The 20,162-nt window shown below is 40.7% G+C and overlaps 1 long non-coding RNA gene across 2 annotated transcripts; it reads right to left on the reverse strand.

The window, feature by feature from the left end:
- Nucleotides 1-271: 271 nt before the first annotated feature.
- LOC105369701 (uncharacterized) lies at nt 272-15,610 on the reverse strand. 2 transcript variants are annotated; one of them, XR_931444.2, is made up of 4 exons: nt 15,568-15,610; nt 14,851-14,998; nt 452-600; nt 272-362 (listed from the first exon to the last, which is right to left on the reverse strand). It is a non-coding gene; the product is annotated as an uncharacterized LOC105369701 (long non-coding RNA). The 2 variants fall into 2 exon arrangements; XR_931445.2 differs by having other exon boundaries at nt 14,851-14,926; nt 15,568-15,597.
- Between the last annotated feature and the right edge of the window lie 4,552 nt (nt 15,611-20,162).

Here is a 20,162-nt window from a genome sequence, read left to right on the forward strand (position 1 = left end):
CTTTGGGTGTGTACTAACTTTAGGAGCTGTAACACTCACCATGAAGGTCTGCAGCTTTATTCCTGAAGTCAGCAAGACCACGAACCCACCGGGAGGAACAAAAACTCTGGACATGTCGCCTTTAAAAGCTGTAACACTCACTGTGAAGGTCTGCGGCTTCACTCCTAAAGTCAGGAAGACCACGAACCCACCAGAAGGAAGAAACTCTGGACACATCGGAAGGAACAAACTCCAGACACACCATCTTTAAGAACTGTAACAACTCACCACGAGGGTCTGAGGCTTCATTCTTGAAGTCAGCAAGACCAAGAACCCACCGGAAGGAACCAATTCCGGACACAATGGTTCCTGTGTGTGATAACCTGTGAAACCATTTCACGGTGGTTAATTTTCTCTTAAGTTTCCAGGTAGATCACCAGCTTCCCTCAACATTTATTGAGTGTTTACATACCTGGGTTCTCGGAGGTGAGGAACTTGATAATGATCACCTTGTTGCCTCACTCCTCTCTTTCTGGACATTGTGAATTCTCTTTGATCCATTTTCAACCATAGACATCTCTGTGATCTTTGTTCTTGGAGGTTTACCAACTGATGCTACATCTAAAGAAAACACGTAATTAAAATTCAGTTGGAACCACTTAGAAATGAGCAATACTTAGTTGGAAGCAATTGTCTTCAAAATTCCTTGGTTATTCATTAAGGAGTAACCTCAGAAAACATCCCAGAAAAGGCTGACAGTTTACAGTTTGGAAGACATTAATTAATTTAATAAGGTTGAATTAGGGGCAAAATTTGCAGAAGGATACTCTTTTTGTTTGTTTTTTGAGACAGAGTCTCACTTTGTCACCCAGGCTAGTGTGCAGTGGCTCTCTGCAGCCTCTTCCTCCTGGGCTCAAGTGATCCTCCAGTCTCAGCCCCCAAGTAGCTGTAAACATAGGCACATGCCACCGCACCTGGCTCATTTTTGTATTTTTTTATGGAGATGAAGTTTTGCCATGTTGCCCAGGCTGGTCTTAAGCTCAAGCCATCTTCCTGCCTCGGCCTCCCAAAGTGCAGGAAATATATAGGCATGAGCCACTGTGCCTGGCCCAATATTAATGTTTTTTAAAAAGTAAAGTTAGAAATATAATTTCCATTTAAACAGGAAAGAATTCTTACTGTATTTGCCTAAAATAAAGCAGTATTTATTTTAAAGCTAAGCTTATAGTGCAAGTAATAATTCATCATTTTTATTTCCCAGTTAAAAAAATACAACTTTAGCATTCAAATTTGCATGCTCTTGTTGCCTTTGTAGTTATCAGTGTCTTCAGCACACATGCTGGTGTGTGGCTGCTCATGACTGCTTAAACTGATACACATTTTGAAGTGAATTCGAGATTTCCAGAGAAGGATGTATGCTTACAATTTTGTTAATAAGGTAAAGCATATGCTAATTAGGTCAATTCATGAAGGGAGACATTAGGTCCCTGGGCTTAATAAAAGAGCTGTATTGTATGTATTTCTTTACATCTCTCTTTGATTATGAGTTCCTGACGATCAGGGACCATGTCCTATTCATTGTTACAGTCAAAGCATTAAGTATGTGTAGACCTGACAGATAGTGGAAGCGTAATAAATAATTCTTGAACTGACTCTCAAACAGGCCCTACAGGCAATTATAGTATGGATAAATAAGAGTAGAAATGAAGATTAAAAATAAACTTATAACCCTGATCCTATATTTCTTTAAGATATTGATATGCCCTAGCACTATTGTATGTGGGATTACTAACATACTAATAGGTAGAAGTTAATGCAGGCCTCCAGGGCAGCAGCATATTTCATAAGTAAATTTTTTTTGGATCTTTTCTTAGTTGTTGTTATTTCTAGTATCTGCAATTCAATAAACCGAACTGCTGCATCTAACAATTTTCAGTGCTTATTGTGTATCTAAAGCCAAATATAGCAAGGTTCCCAGAATACTGGATTCCTATAATGGCATAATTGATTTCCTCTTAACGGCTGTGTGTCTGTGTGTGAGTGTGTGTGTGTATGTGTTGTGTGTGTGTGTTTTTCACATAATTACTTATCTATTTAAAGGGGAAAACTTCTGAGAAAAATCACAGGAGGACTGAATTTAGCCTGCTCTGACGAACTAAAAATATGAAATAAAAAATGAACCAGTCTTGGTAAACCATCTCTTACCTCACTTTCCAAACAAATCCATCTGCAAAATTTAAAAATTTTCACTTAAAAATCATCTTTCCGTAGAAATATATAACGTGAAGAGGAAGTATAATAAAGTCATATACTTAATGCAAAGCCCTTTTGCATATACCAGATCCACATTAATGCATATGGGCTAACATCATTCAGGATGTTTCTCTTTAAAATGCTGGACTCATCTTATCCTCCATGCCCAAAGGACAATCTTGGGTGTAAGGAAAAATCTTTTTAAAACAGCTCTATTTCCAGTTACCTTTCTTTCATTAATTAGTTGTCTATACTAATTTATTGAATGCTTGCTAAATATCCCCTGCACTAGGGGATATGAAGGTGAATAAGACTAGGTTCATCTCCATAGTGAACAGGAGAGGAATTACTGGAATGTACCAGAAGGGTGCTGAGGGAGCCTTGTTGCCTGCCTAGAGAAGCTGGGGAGGCTTCACCAAAGTGTTTTTCAGCTGGATCTGGGAGGGGGAATTAGATTGTGGGGGGGAAGTAGGGAAGAAGGATGCTGTGGCCTGAATGTTTGTGTCCCCTGCAAATTCATATGTTGAAATCCTAACCCCCAAAGTGATAGTATTAAGAGACGGGGCTTTTGGGAGGTGATTAGGTCGCGAGGGTAGAGCCCTCATGAATGGGATTCGTGCCCTTGTGAAAGGCCCAGGGAGCTACCTCAGCCTTTCCTCCCGGTGAGGATGCAGCAAGAAGGCACCATCAGAGACCGGGAGACCACTGGCCCTCACCAGACACTGGATCTGCCGGCACCTTGACTTTGAACTGCCCAGCTTCCAGAACTGCAAGAAATAAATGGTGGTTGTTAATAAGCCACTAAGTCTGTAGTATGTCATTATAGCAGCCCAAATTCCTAAAGGAGAGTTGGAAGGAAGGCCCTTCACTTCAGGCAGGCTGGAAGCACCGAAATAAAGGCCTCAGGCAGCTAAAGGGCCTTCTGTGTCTGGGAAGTGGGGAGGCATTTGGAAGGGACAGAGAGCAGAGTAGGTAACTGGCACTCAGACTGTGAAGGGCCCTATGAAGGGATGTGGGCTTATCCTTTCGACTTTCAATGCCTGTTTCTCAAACTGCTGCGTATGTACTCACCCATGGGCATTTTAGGTTTTAGGATACACAGAGTGCAACTTTCTAGACTATCAATTTACCATAACGATTTGTGGGGGGCAGGGGCAAAGCATCATTTTTATACAAAAGTAAATGTGTATATGTTGCAGAGAGTGAAATTTTATGTTTGGCACAATTGCTTAGGGCTCTTCCCTAGATCCTCACATATTTCCTCTCCCTCCATCTCTTCCACCATTAAGTATCCTTTGGTAAAGTCTAGAAAGTTCGGGGAAGTCTTTCCTTAGCTGCTGCAGAGCCTGGACCTAGGTGTGGCCTCCCAAATCTAACCAAAAGACAAGCACCTTCACACTGACTCCCAGTCTCCTTCCAAAAGCAAAACCACCTTGTCAGTGTTAGGTACATCCCATCCTTCCTCCCTTCTCAGGTTTGTATTTGAATAGGTGTTTACATTTTACATGAAAGAATATTCCTGATAACAGCCTTTTGTTAAGACTACTACATGCCATATACTTTATATATATTAAGACATTTAATCCTCACTGAGACCTAAGGTCACGTAGTTTGCGATGGTAGGGTCAGAATTGAAGTCAGATTTTTTGGACCCCAGAGCCCATTTTTAAATTTCTTACCTTTATGCAACTCTGTTTAGAAGATTAAAAAAAAAATAAAAACTTCAGACTTAGCCAACCATTTCTGGTCAGAAGAATCCTGATCATACTTGTATAATACATGGTGTCTTCAAAATCCACAGAGACAAAGAAATACCTATAGGTATAATCCTGGCTACTGTGTATGTGCAGAATCTCCACCTGGTTGCCACCCCTCTTTTAAAGCCATAGGACCCAAAAGCAACACTAGGGGGTCTGTGGTTGTAGAAATCATATACCTCAGGCTGGGGTGGAGAGCATCAAGTCTGCCCCAGCTTCCCAAATATGAGGACTGCATATGTGCACGTTAGCCGTACACCTTGTATATGGAAACTAAAGCCAAGCAAAAGAGCTAAGACAAGCAATCTCACTGAGCATCCCTTTCAGATCACTGTTTTCCTGAGTAGATGGAGGCAGGGTTCACTCGTGAATTTACAGAAATTGATACCTAATTTCCAAATTGATCAGCCTTCCCTTTACCCTTCCCTTCCCCTCCCTCCGTTCCCCTCCCCTCCTCTCACCTCCCACTCCCTACCTTTTTTTTTTTACAGGGTCTCACTCTGTCACCCAGGCTTCCAGGCTGGAGTGCAGTGGCACAATCACAGCTCACTGCAGCCTCAACCTCCTGGGCTTAAACAATTGTCCACCTCAGCCTCCCAAGTAGCTGGGGCCACAGGTGCTCACCACTACACCTGGCCAATTTTTGTATTTTTTGTAGCAATGGAGTTTCTCTATGTTGCCCAGGCTGGTCTGGAACTCCTGAGCTCAAGTGGTCTGCCTGCCTTGGCCACCCAAAGTTTTGGGATTACAGGCGTGAGCCATTGCACAGGGCTGATCAGTATTTTTCTTATACTTTATACTCACCCTATTGTAGAAAGATTATCTGGGCAAAGCATTAATTCATGAGAAACTTGCAAAATTGTTTTACAGAAATTTACAAATCATTTTACAAATCAGACATTTTCAGAATCTCATATGCTTTTCTGTATTTGAATGAAAAAAAATTAGTAGTAGAAGGTTAAGATACATGTTAAATATATGGTAAAAGTCCAGGTATATAACTTCCATTTGCCTTAAGAGTCACTTGTGACATTTATTAAATGTAGATTCTGGGTTCCACCCTCAGGGATTTTGATTTAGTACTTTTGGAGGGTTCATAAAGCTGCATAGTTAACAAGCAACCAGCAGATTCTGAAGCACATCACATTTTTGAGAAATACTGTTCTGGACTATGAGAAGCCATTACATTCTAATTTATTAGAAATGAAATGGCAATGCTATATAAATACTTGATCAAGAACTAGAGCAGAACTCCTATGGAGCAGAACTAGAAAGGCAAGTATGTCTGTTCTGGTCACTGGGGACACAAATCACACAAATCAGAATGCGCAAAGCTTGCTTTTAAGGCCTTTCCATCTCCTGGCTGTCTCTTGGCACACCCCAAGTTCCTCTGCTTTAGGGTCTATGGTTCCCAGGTTAAGAAATCCTGGACTAGCCTGTTGAGGTAGTTTTGGAAACTACCTCATCATCTAGGTATTTGTTGTCCTCTGAGGATACGAAATTCTGCCTTGAAGGGAGTTGGCCAGTTTCAGGAACTCCTTGGAGAGATTCCTTAGCTCCATTAGCTCCACCGAGTTCACCAGGGGTAAGAGTGGAGGAAGAGTACACCATAGTTGATGATCAGCTTGAGCCCCAGGCAAGATGCTATGCTAGCCTTTCATGTATATAATTTCACTTCACCTTATCTAAACCTCACAATTACTCTACACGTTAGAGACGAGACTAGGGAGGTTAAGCAACCCTCCCAAAGTCACACAGCTGCTAAATGGCAAATGAAAACTTCAAAGGAAAGTCTGTTTGACTTTCAAGCCCCAAATACCTCAAGTCCAAGGAGGGTTACACAAGAAACCTTGAGTAAGATCTCAAAAGACACAAAAGATAATCCTTGAGTGTTACACCATCTCTGAGGCCAATGCAGCACTGGGTTGGGCAAATGAGACTATGGAAAAATTAAGGAATGATGAGGCTATGAGGTAAGTTTCAATGTGGTTTTTATACAATGAAACATATTTGAAAGGACATCTTACATCCAGAACAGCTAGGATAGAAAATACAGCAGAGGGAAGGAAGAAGTATTCATGCAGCTAGTTTTCAAATGGAAGTATGCAATCAATGACATCAGCAGCTTAATTAGGAAGGGATGATGATAAAGGGGGGCAGATTTTCAATTAAGAGCAGCACTATGAAAGATCAGTTTAACTGATACATGTTCTGCAATAGTAAAAACATTACACAACTGTGATAATATCTTATTTATATAGCTTAATGTACTAGGAAGGATTTGTTCCATGTTGTTTCAATTCAAATCATAATTCTATGAAAAATTTTGTTAGATAAGCAGTGAAGAGACATTAAATATGTAGGTCACCAAAATGTTTTCCCTGACTGAGTCATCTGATATTGACACCCCAGGCTCTGTCTATCACATCGCCCTGTTTTTTTTTTTTTTTTTTTTTTTTTTTTTTTTTTCAGAACAATTGGTACTACCTGGAATTATCTAACTTATATATTTACTTCTTAACTATATTCTCCAGTAGAATAAAATCTCCACATGAGCCATCTAGTTCACCACTGTATACCCAGTGCCTACATCCGTGCCTGGCACATTATAAGAGCTTGGTGCAAATTTGTTCAAGAAATGAATGACAAAAAACATCAAAACACTTGCAAGTAATTTATAAAAATAGATCTGTCTAAATTTATGTTTTAGATCTAGTGGTAGAAGAATAACAGCTGCGTCTAAAATAATTACTTCAGGGTGGGAGGAGGGCGAGGAATAAAAGACTACAAATAGGGTGCAGTGTGTACTGCTCAGGTGATGTGTGCACCAAAATCCCACAAAGCACCACTGAAGAACTTACTCATGTAATCAAATGCCACCTGTACCTTAATAACCTATGGAAAAAAATTTAAAACACATATGTAAAAAAGATAATATCTAAAATTGAAATAAGTATCAAGAGACTGATAATTGTGTTTGTTGCTGAGGAAAGTATACAAAAAAATTGGGGGTTTGTAGTACGCTTTGAGAATCTTAAATGTATACATATATTTTAACCCATTTTTTTAACTTCTTGGTGTTTACCCTGTGGAATTAATCATAGGTTGTGATTCATATTTAAATGATCATTATATTTGAATGATTTGGCTCAAATATGTCCACTTACACATTGTTTATATTAATAAAATTTGGGGGACAATAAAAAAAATAATTACTTCATTATTTGGATTTTTATTTACTATCCTATATTGTTAAGAGTGCCCTAAAAAGTATATATTATGTATAAAATATAAATATATTACATATAAAATCCAAGATTTATTGTGTGTTTTATGTGCCAGATATGTATTATAAACTCATTTAATTCTGTAACAACACCATGAACTGGGGCATTATTTTCATCTCCTAAATTTTTATAGATGACGGAATTGAAGCAAAGGGAAGTAAGGTCACTTATCGTGTTTTCCAGCAAAAAGTGGTGGAATTGGATTTAAACCTAAGGCATTTGACTTTAGAGTTTATAGTCTCAATCACATACTTAGAAAATATTTTTTAAAAGAATTCTGGCCGGGTGTGGTGGCTCATGACTGTAATCCTAGCACTTTGGGAGACTGAGGTAGGCAGATCACTTGAGGTCAGGAGTTCGAGACCAGCCTGGACAACATGGTGGAACTCCACTTCTACTCAAAATACAAAAATTAGCCGGGCATGGTGGCAGGTGCCACTCGGGAGGCTGAAGCAGGAGAATCGCTTGAACCTGGGAGGTGGAGGTTGCAATGAGCTGACATTGTGCCACTGCGCTCCAGCCTGGGTGACAGAGACATTTAAAAAAAATTTTTTTTTTTATTGGCCAGGCGCGGTGGCTCACGCCTGTAATCCCAGCACTTTAGGAGGCTAAGGCAGGTGGATCACGAGGTCAGGAGTTTGAGATCAGCCTGGCCAACATTGTGAAACCCGGTCTCTACTAAAATACAAAAATTAGCTGGGTGTGGCGGCGGGTGCCACTCGGGAGGCTGAGGCAGGAGAATTGCTTGAACCTAAGAAGTGGAGGTTGCAGTGAGCTGAGATCGTGCCACTGCACTCCAGCCTGGGCGACAGAGTGAGACTGTCTCAAAAATAAAAAAATCTATGATGATGATCCTGCCATTTTATTAGACTTCTAATTTTACAAATTTGGGGCAAACGCTAGTATAAGAAATAGATGTGACCCCATAAATGGCTTATTAGTCATAAATGGGTAAACAGTAAAAGAAACAAGACCACACCATAACCAGGTGACCAGAAAGAAATCGCCAGTGAGGGAAGTTCTAGCCAGAGCAAGTAGGCAAGAGAAAGAAATAAAAGGCATCCAAACAGGAAGAGAGCAAGCCAAACTATCTCTCTTCACAGATATGAGTCTACATCTAGAAAATCCCACAGGCTCTGCCGAAAGACTCACAGTGATAAATAACTTCAGTAAAGCTTCAGGATACAAAGTCAAGGCACAAAAATCAGTAGCATTTCTATACACCAATAATATCCAAGCTGAGAGCCAAATTAACAATGCAATCCCATTCACAATAGCCACAAAAAGAATAAAATACCTAGGAATACAGCTAACCATGGAAGTGAAAGATCTCTACAAGGAGAACTACAAAACAATGCTCAAAGAAATCAGAGATGACACAAACAAAAAGAAAAACATTCCATCCTTATGGACTGGAAGAATCAATATTGTTAAAATGGCCATACTGCCCAAAGCAATCTACAGATTCAATGCTATTCCTATCAAACTGGAAAAAACTGTTTTCAAACTAATATGAAACCAAAAAAGAGACTTAATAGCCAAAGCAATCCTAAGCAGAAAGAACAAAGCTGGATGCATCACCCTACCCTACATCAACCCATATTACAAGGCTACAGTAATCAAAACAGCATGGTACTGGCACAAAAACAGACACATAGACCAATAGAACAGAATAGAGAACCCAGAAATAAAGCTGCATACCTACAACCACCTGATCTTTGACAAAGCCAACAAAAACAAGCAATGGGGAAAGGATTCCCTATTCAATAAATGGTGCAGGAATAACTAGCTAGCCATATGGAGAAGATTGAAACTGGACCCCTTCCTTGCACCATATATAAAAATCAATCCAAGATGGAATAAAGATTTAAGTGTAAGACCTAAAACTATAAAATCCTTAGAAGAAAATCTAGAAAATACCATTATGGACATAGGCCTTGGCAAATATTGCATGATGAAGTCTCCAAAAGTAATTGCAACAAAACCAAAAACAGAAAAGTGGGACTCAGCCAGGCACAGTGGCTCAGGCTGGGCCCGGTGGCTCACACCTGTAATCCCAGCACTTTGGGAGGCTGAGGTGGGCAGATCACCTGAGGTCAGGAGTTCGAGACCAGCCTGGCCAACATGGCAAAACCCTGTCTCTACTAAAAATATAAAAATTAGCTGGGCGTGATGGCGGGCGCCTGTAGTCCCAGCTACTCGGGAGGCTGAGGCACGAGAATCGCTTGGCCTTGGGAGGCAGAGGTTGCAGTGAGCTGAGATCATGCCTCTGAACTCCAGCCTGGGAGACAGACCCATAACTCCATCTCAAAAAAAAAAAAAAAAAGAAAGAAAAGAAAAGTGGGACTTAATTAAACTAAAGAGCCTCTGCATAGCAAAAGAAACTATCAACAGAGTAAATAGACAACCTACAGAACGGGAGAAAATGTTTGCAAACTATGCATCCAACAAAGGTCTAATATCCAGAATCTATAAGGAACCTAAACAAATCAACAAGCAAAAACAAACTCCATTAAAAAATAGGCAAAGTATATGAACAGACACTCCTCAAAAGACATACTTGCAGCCAACAAGCATAAAAAAAAAATGCTCAACCTCACTTATCATTAGAGAAATGCAAATCAAAACCACAAGGAGATACTATCTCATACCAGTCAGAACGGCTATTATTAAAAAGTCAAAAATAACATTCTAGTGAGGTGGTAAAGCAAAGGGAATGCTTATACAGTGCTGGTGGGAATGTTCAGCCACTGTGGAGAGCAGTTTGGAGATTTCTCAAAAAACACAGCTACCATTTGACACAGCAATCCCATTACTGGGTATGCACCCAAAGGAATATAAATTATTCTACCAAAAAGACACTGTATTAGTCAGGGTTCTCTAGAAGGACAGAACTAATAGGATAGAATTATATCTGAAGGGGAGTTTATTAACTAGTATTGACTCACACCATCACAAGGTGAAGTCCCACAACAGGCCATCTGCAAGCTGAGGAGTAAGGAAGCCAGTCCAAGTCCCAAAACTTCAAAAGTAGGGAAGCTGACAGTGCAGCCTTCAGTCTGTGGCCAAAGGTCTAAGAACCCCTGGCAAACCACTAGTGTAGGTCCAAGAGTCCAAAAGCTGAAGAATTTGGAGTCCAATGTTCGAGGGCAGGAAGCACCCAGCACGGGAGAAAGATGAAGGCTGGGAGACTCAGCAAATCTCTTTCCACCTACTGCCTGCTTTATTCTAACCGTGCTGGCAGCTGATTAGATGCTGCCCACCCTGACTGAGGGTGGGTCTGCCTCTTCCAGTCCACTGACTCAAATGTTAATCTCCTTTGGCAACACCCTCACAGACACCCAGAAACAATACTTTGCATCCTTCAATCCAACCAAGTTGACAATATTAACCATCACAGACACACACACTCTTATGTTCGTTGCAGCACTATTCACAATAGCAAAGACATGGAATCAACCTAGATGCCCATCAATGGTGGACTGGAGAAAGAAAATGTGGTACATATGCACCATGGAATACTACACAGCCATAAAAAAGAACAAAATAATGTCTTTGCTGCAACATGGATGCAGCTGGAGGCCATTATTCTAAGTAAATTGATGTAGGAACAGAAAACCAAATGCCATGTGTTATCACTTACAAGTGGGAGCTGAACATTGAGTACACATGGACACAAAGAGGAGAAAAATAGACTCAGGTCTACTCGAGGGTAGAGGGTGGGAGGAGGATGAACGTCTATAAGCTACCTATTGGGTACTGTGCTCACTACGTGGGTGATGAAATCATTTGTGCACTAAACCTCAGCAACATGCAATTTACCCATGTAACAAACCTGTATATGTACCCCCAAACCTACAATAAAAGTTAAAAAATTAAAAATAAATAAAAATAAAAATTAGAAAAGAAAAAAAGAAAAAAGAAATTGCCAGTGAGATGATTAACATCATGTGCTTATAGAAGAAACACCTTGAGAAGGAGATAACATCATTATATGGTGATGCGTAGCCTGAATCTAATCATGAGGAACCATCAAACAAGCCCACGTGGAGGGATATTCCATGTAGCAACCATCTGTAAGAAAAATGTCAAGATCAGGAAAAACAAAGACTGAGGGACTGTTTCAGATTAAAGGAGAATTAGCCGTAATGGCAACTAAATGCAATACATGAACCTAGAATGAATTCTATACTGAAGAAGGAAAATGCTATAAATTTCATTGTTAAATAAATGGACAAAATTGGAACACACACTCTCCAGTAGAAATATTCTGGCACTATTGAATTTTCTCAACTTGTTAACTGTACTGTGACTACATAAAGAATATCCTTGTTCTTAAAACATACACATTGGTCCGGGTGCAGTGTCTCACGCCTGTAATCCCAGCACTTTGGGAGACCGAGGCAGGTGGATCACCTGAGGTCAGGAGTTCAAGACCAGCCTGGCCAAGATGGTGAAGCCCCGTCTCTACTAAAAATACAAAAATTAGCCGGGCGTGGTGAAGGGCGCCTGTAATCCCAGCTACTCGGGAGGCTGAGACAGAGAATTGCTTGAACCTGGAAGGCAGAGGTTGAACCCGAGATCGTGCCACTGCACTCCAGCCTAGGCGACAGAGTGAGACTCTGTCTCAAAAAAAAAAAAAAAATACACATTGAAGTATAAAGGGATAAATGGAGAAGATGCACGCCACCTACTCTCAAATGGTTAAAGAATAATACATAGCAAATTTTTAAAAGTTGGTGAATCTGTAAAGCATATATGAGTTCCCTTGTTTTATTCTTGCTACCTTTCTGTGAATTTAAAATTATTTAAAAATCAAAGTTACATATTAAAAAGTTAGATACAATTTTTTTAAAAGTAAAGGTGCCTCAAAGAGCTACTGAGTTTATCACTTGGTATCACTGATTTATACAGACTGTGTTCCAAAAAACAGAATGTGGCTCTATCGTCTATCAAAACTAGAACACAAACATAGTTCCCATATAGGTTTAAGTTGTTGGTTTTGCCATCATGATTCGCTCATTAGAATCATAATGGTTGTCATGAATTATGCCCACTTATTATTAGCATTTCATTTCTCCTCTGTCAAACAGTGACTTTTTTGCATTTGCATAGTATCCTGTACCACTTAAAGATTCTCTGAATTCAAGCTGGGTATCTTGCTGTGAAGAAGAGATACTGAGTGATCTGAGGAAAAGACTAAGAAACCACAGGATGTTAGACCTGGAAGAGATCTGTGGGATTTTATTAGATCTCCAATTTTACAAATGAAGATATTTATTTATGTAATTAGGCAAAATGATGTATTCGTATAAAAAAAGGACAAAAGCAAGATTGGGAAATGAGGAATAATAAATAGCAGCAGTAGAATGCATACTTATTGCATTGTTATGTCACAACAATGTTACCTCTAGACGTTGGCTTACTTTACTATAGGGCACATATTATATTAGTTCCTAAAGTTTATCACAATTTGTAAAGCAAGTTTATTTCTTTCTTTTTTTCTTTTGAGATGGAGTCTCACTCTGTTGTCCAGGCTGGAGTAACAATGGCATGTTCTCAGCTCACTGCAACCTCCGCCTCCTGGGTTCCAGCGATTCTCCTGCCTCAGCCTATGGAGTAACTGGGATTACAGGCGCCAGCCACCACGTCCGGCTAATTTTGTAGTTTTAGTAGAGACGGGGTTTTACCATGTTGGCCAGGCTGGTTTTGAACTCCTGACCTCAGGTGATCCACCCGCCTTGGCCTCCCAAAGTGCTGGGATTATAGGTGTGAGTCACCACACCTGACTACAAGAGTTTCTTTCTTAGTTGCTAATCTAACGTTTAAAAATTCCTAGTTTTGATAAAATTATTTTTAAAAATATAGATATTTTGGTAAGAGGGTAATTTCAGCTGAGCACCTAAGAACCGCCCCTGGAATTGAGGTCGTTTTGATACTGAGGTCACTGGATCTATAGTTTGAAGACAATTTTATGTGATTGTAATCATCATCGATAGAATTTAAAAATCTTCCTCTTTATATAGTCACAAGTGGTGAAAGCCTCTGGTACTAAGTCATTAAAATGCATTTTTAAAATTGTCTGGAAGTTTGCTTACAACAGTGACTCTAGCCACCTGAATGGTAATCCTGCTGTTACACGGCAAATCTATAAGGTAAAACGTGAATCCGTAAGGCAAACTTTGATTTCACACTAATTTATAGACCTAGAAATAGGAAAATATGGCTTTTAGAGCCTTGAAGATTGAACAAGCATTAACATGGCTTATTACTAATGTTGATAGATTGAGGAAAGTAAGGTGTTCCTCTAAAAACTTAGAAACTAGAAAAATAAGATTTATTACTCTAAAGAATGGATGATATTAGTGATGAATAAGAGTAACCCAAGAGAGAGCAGAGCACGGTGGCTCATGCCTGAAATCCCAGCTACATGGGAGGATCACTTAAAACCAGGAGTTTGACACCAACCTTGGCAACATAGTGAGACCCCGTTTCTAAAAAGAATTTTAAAAATTAGCCAGGCATAGTGGCATCTGCCTGTAGTTCCAACTACTTGGGAGACTGAGGTGGGAGAGTGGCTTGAGCTCAGGCATTCCAGACTGCAGCGAGCTATAATTGTGCCACTACACTTGAGCCTGGGCAACAGAGACCCTGTATTTAAAAAAAAAAAAAAAAAAGGGCCAGGCACGGTGGCTTATGCCTGTAATCCCATTTTGGGAGCTGAGGTGGGCGGATCATGAGGTCAGGAGATTGAGACCATCCTGGCTAACACGGTGAAAACCCATCTCTGCTAAAAATACAAAAAAATTAGTCGGGCGTGGTGGTACGCGCCTGTAGTCCCAGCTACTTGGGAGGCTGAGGCAGGAGAATCGCTTGAACCCAGGAGGTGGAGGTTGCAGTGAGCCTAGATCGTGCCGCTGCACTCCAGCCTGGGTGACAGAGCAAGACTCTGTCTCAAAAAAAAAAAAAAAAAAAAGGAATCCAAGAGAGCTAAGAGAGTGCTGACATTACTGAATAAAGAGTTTTGCGGGAAGGGGCTGAGCGCGGTAGCTCGTGCCTGTAATCCCAGAACTTTGGGAGGCTAAGGAAGGCAGATCCTGAGGTCAGGAGTTCGAGACCAGCCTGGCCAACATGGTGAAACCCTGTCTCTACTAAAAATACAAAAATTAGCTGGGCGTGGTGGTGAAACACCTGTAATCCCTGCTACTCGGGATAGGCTGAGGCAGGAGAATTGCTTGAACCTGGGAGGCGGGGGTTGCAGTGAGCCAAGATCGCGCCACTTCACTCCAGCCTGGGAGCAAGACTCCATCTCAAAAAAAAAAAGGAGTATTGGGGGAAAAATGCACAAACCTACCCGTCAGGGTGTTTACAGTATTATTTAAGAAGCCTATGAATGGATGTGATTATAATTATGAAAGACAAAATGGACAACTGTGTATATACAGTGAATAAAGACTTTTTCACAAAAGCAGGTGGGGACTTGGAAAGAGGTGTCTGAAGAGCAATAACACGGCACCTTAGTTACGAAAGACTTGGTGCTTCTATGAGGGACAGGTGTGTTTCATCGGCCTCACCTGGGCCTGGATGGAAGCTTCCCTCAAGACTGACTTCCTTCTTTGCTGGGTTTCTTGTCCTCACTTCTGCAACTGGCTGCTCAAAGGGAGAGGATGCACCGAGCAAATGAATTAGAGATTCTGCTCCATTTGTCAGCTACATTTCTCACTTTAAATGAAGAATTTATCGCTCTGTTTAACATAGAAATCTTATAACAAGGTGTTGCTAGATTAAAGGAGCTGTACCCCACAAACCATCCCTAAATGAGAGTTCTCTCTTGTAACCCTCAGATTATAATAATTATAAAATGCATCCTTCTGCTCATCAGCCATAATTAATTTTACAACCCAAGTTTCACATCCTATTGGTTTTAATGTTATTTCAAAATACAAACCAGTAGCAACTAAAGCATCACATCAACAATGTGCTAAGCAGTATCTCCTAATGCCTCTGCCCCCTCCCTTGTCAAAGCTGGCTGGATAGGGCTAAAGCTAGACGGAGACCTAAAGGTCTGGGGTGAGGGGTGGGGGCGCTGAGGACAGACTCCATTCAGATGAAGCACTGGTTTTCCACATTGCAGACCAAAAGACTTTAGAAATGTCAGAGATCACTAGGCAACATAGAATGCCCCAGGCAAACAGACCAAAGGGAGTCTAAACTCTCACTTTTCTCCACCCAAGGGGAGGAATATCTACCACCACTGCCTGAGAGCCTTCCTCCAGGAATGTTCCACTAACCATCAGTTTTCCCTGTCTCACCATCTTCACAACCCCATGGTTTGCTCTTTAAACCATACTATCACTCAATTGTGAGGCTGTCTTGTGACAAAATAATACACATACAATTCAACCAATACCTGCTGAACATCCACGACATTCCAGGCACTATATGTCACTTAATCATCTCCTGTAATCTGCACAAGTCTGCAGATGGGTTAGTTGTTGTTGTTACAAAATATATATATATATTTAATATCATAAATATATACTTAAATTCATTTTATTTATTTATTTTAAATAGAGACAGGATCTCCTTTTTGTTGCCCAGGCTGGTCTCAAACTCCTGAGGCTCAAATGATCCTCCCGTCTTGGCCTTCCAAAATGTTGGGATTACAGGCGTGAGCCACCGCATCTGGCTATATTTAAATTTATAAGAGAAAACTAAGGTCTACGAAAGTGAAATAACACAGGTCAATAGTCACACAGCATATAGGTGGAAGACCAGGACTGGAATTTATGTTTTCAATGTTCTTTACCACTCTACCATGATAGAAGAGCACACTCAGGTAAATACCTAGCCAACTAGTGCCCCTGTTACCTCAGACCCAGGCCATTTTCTAAGACACACCTAAGGGTGTGTCTCTCTGGAAATGCAGGAATGAAACGGTTCTTACCCACAGAGATGGGCATTTATTATTAGCATCATCATTATCATTATCATCATGATCATTTGCCTTACTAAGCAGGAAAAACACAATTTTGCATAAATTGCTGTGAGTTTTACTTTCTTATTGATTTTTACCTTTTTAGTACTTTTATACTTTATGTCATATTATTCTAAACACTTATGACAAATATAGTCGATCTATATCCTTTCAAATGCTCACAATTCAAAATACCACTCACATTTTTAACATTTCAGTTTACTTTAGGGGAAAGCGCTTCACTGACAAAAGACTGCAGTGTCCCAGAATACCAAACATAACTCTTGCTGAAAAACTCAGAAGTCCTGGAGAACACAGACCACACTTTGTAACCTGTAAAGGTTCTGGAAGAAGCTGGTGTTTAATAAACACTAAATAATACACCAATTGAACTTAAATTACCATTCAGCATTTTAGGCTAATTTTATAGCTTAGCTGAATGAATTATATTTTATTTTAAAATTATTATTATTTTTCTGAGACAGCGTCTCAGTCTGTCACCCGGGCTGGAGTGCAGTGGCACAATCTTGGCTCACTGCAGCCTCGACCTCTCCGGCCCAGGTAATTCTCTCACCTCAACCTCCTGAGGAGCTGGGACTACAGGTGTGCGCCACCACACCAACTAATTTTTTGTAGAGACGGGGTTTCACCATGTTGCTTAGGTTGTTCTGGAACTCCTGGCCTCAAGTGATCTGCCCACCTAACACAGGTGTTAGCCACTGTGCCCAGTCGGATTTCATCTCAATAACAATACAAAGAAAATGATTAAAGCTGCCACTTATAGATTGTGTTTGTAAGATATTGCAGCCTTACTCCCCCACCAACCCCACTTCCAGTGGTATATTTAAAATATCAGTAGTATTACTATTATTATTCTCTCTTTTTATTTTTTAGACCAGGTCTTACTCTGTCACCCAGGTTAGAGTGCAGTAGTGTGATCACTGCTCACTGTAGCCTCGACCTGCTGGGCTCAAGCAATCCTCCCAGTTCAGCCACCCGAGTACCTGAAACTATGTGTGTGCCACCATGTTTGGCTAATTAAAAAAAAAAAAATGTAGAGATGAGATCTTACTATGTTGCCCAGGTTGGTCTTGAACTCCTGAACTAAGAGATCCTCCTGCCTCAGCCTCCCAAAGTGCTAGGATTATAGATGTGAGCCATCGCACCTGGCCTACTCTAATTTTTTAATAAGAAAAGGAAATCAGAGAGAGAGCAATTTTTCCAAGGTGATATGAAGATTACAGATCAATTAACAGCTCTTGGTTTAGTCAGCTCTGCTGTTATTTCTCAACTCTTTGTTTCCCAGAGAAATCTATGTTCATCATTCTTCACATCATCACTGAAGATAGGAAGGTATTCACGTTCCTGATCCAGGACATGAGAGGGTATTTTGCATTAGTAGTTGCCAAACCACATGATTTCTTTCTCTTTTTTTCTTTTTGAGATGGAGTCTCGCTCTGTTGCCCAGGCCCAAGTGCAGTGGCGTGATCTCCACTCGCTGCAACATTTGCCTCCTGAGTTCAAGCAATTCTCCTGTCTCAGCCTCCTGGGTAGCTGGGATTACAGGCGCCCACCACCACGCCCAGCTTATTTTTGTGTTTTTAGTAGAGACAGGATTTCACCATGTTAGCCAGGCTGCAAACCACATGATTTCTGAGGTTTCTTATAAACTTGACATAACTTCAGGGGGAAAGCGTTTAGTACTATATAATACAATACATGATATATATGTAATTATATCTATATTATGTAGTATATAACATATATTAAATATATAACAAAGATTTATTTGGTAATATATAATATAGATTTACTCAGTTTTAATATCTTTTTTTTTTTTTGAGACAGAGTCTCGCTCTGTTGCCAGGCTGGAGTGCAGTGGCACAATCTCGGCTCACTGCAAGCTCCGCCTCCCATGTTCACACCATTCTCCTGCCTCAGCCTCCCGAGTAGCTGGGACTACAGGTGCCCGCCACCATGCCCAGCTAACTTTTTGCCCAGGGGTTTAGTAGAGAGGGGTTTTCACCGTGTTAGCCAGGATGGTCTCAATCTCCTGACCTCGTGATCTGCCCTCCTTGGCCTCCCAAAGTGCTGGGATTACAGGCGTGAGCCACTATGCCCGGCCCAGTTTTAATATCTTATCAAATGCTACCTATTTGTTATAAAATATATGAACAATATAAAATGTGGTGAACACAAAAATTAGGGTAGATGCTCTACTTCATACAGATTTTTCTCGGTGACCATGTCAGAGCCAGTTTCTTGCTCCCTTTTCTGAAGAACCATTTATTTCCCTTTCAATTTTGCTTCTAGGTCGGAACCGCCCTGTTTTTACATGACCCCACATCCCCAGCCACAGGGAAAGATCAAGGAGAGGGCATGCGAATCAATCTGGGCAATGAGAGTACTTACATTCTTGGTCACGGTAATTGGGGGCAGAAATGGACCTGTGGCCCAAGCCAGGTCAATCACAATCCTTTCCTGAGATTTTTACTGACTCAACATGGGGAGGAAGAATTTTCTTCTCAAATGCTGTTAAGATGTGAGCCTAGAACCTGCCAGCAGTGGCCATGTCTCCACTGGGTGAAGAAAGCAAGTCCACAGTTAAGGAGGAATAAAGCTGAAAGCTAGAAAGAAAAATAGCAGTGAGTCTTGATGGCATTTAGATCCTTGGTTTTAGAGATGCCTCAGGACAGCTTCACCTATGCCCTTCCTACATTTGGGTACATGACCTAATAAATTCCCACTTGCTTTTGCTAGCTCAAATAGCATTCCTTTCATTTGTAGCCAAAAATTTCTGATTAGTACAATTAATGTCTAAAGTTGAAAGTGAAATTTTCCCAACCACTTCTCAAAATGTACTAATCAGAGTTTAAGGATACTAGTAACAAGAGCCTAGTCTGATCCATCTTGAACAAATAGGGAAAATTATTTGCTTACATAACCAAGACTTCAGAGAGGTAAGAGTGGGACCTGGTTCCCTGGGAAGCAGGGCCTCATGACTGGCTCTGTCTCATCTCCACTTATCTCTGCATGTTAGCTTTGTTATCTCAGACTGGTTCTCTTCCACTGGGAATGAGAAGGGCCACCAGCAGCTCAAGAATCATCTTGGTGACTATAGAGGGAAGAAATCTTGCTCTCCTTAGAGGAAGTAAATTGGCAGAACCCTCAGAAAGCACTCTGATTAGTCTGGCTTGGGTCACACGCTAATCTCTAGACTAATCACTATGACCAGGAGTTCTCGGGTGGCACAATTGGCTGACTGCTGCAGCCAGAGGAATAGAATTGAAAGAAAGATGGCCATCCCCATTTGGACCAATTGACAAGAGTAGAAAGAGGAACAGTTTTTCAGATACAGAGGGCTGCTGTCCGAGAGAAAGGTGTGAAACAAATACCAATAAATGTTCACAATTCCCTTTGTTAATAGTTTGGTGCATTTCCTTCCAGACTTTTTTTTTTTCAATTGTGAGCAAACTTAGAAATGTAAGAAAATCCCAGTGAATGCTGGATGTATACCAATAATCAAAACAAAGCATGGGGCCGGGCGTAGTGGCTCATGCATGTAATCCTAGCACTTTGGGAGGCTGAGGCAGGCAGATCACTTGAGGTCAGGAGTTTGAGACCAGCCTGGCCAACATGGTGAAACCCTGTCTCTACTAAAAAAAAAAAAAAAAAAAAAAAAAAAAAAAAAAAAATTAGCCAGGCGTGGTGATGCACACCTCTAATCCCAGTTACTTGGGAGACTGTGTCTCAAAAAAAAAAAAAAAAGCATGGCTAGAATCCAGACTTCTCTCTTTTTTTTTTTTTTTTTTTTTTTTGAGACAGGGTCTCACGCTGTCACCCAGGCTGGAGTGCAGTGGTATGATTACAGCTCACTTGCAGCCTCAACCTCATGGGCTCAAGTGATTC

This window comes from Homo sapiens, chromosome 12 (genome assembly GCF_000001405.40).
Source record: "Homo sapiens chromosome 12, GRCh38.p14 Primary Assembly".
In the NCBI taxonomy this organism is placed as follows: Eukaryota; Metazoa; Chordata; class Mammalia; order Primates; family Hominidae; genus Homo; species Homo sapiens.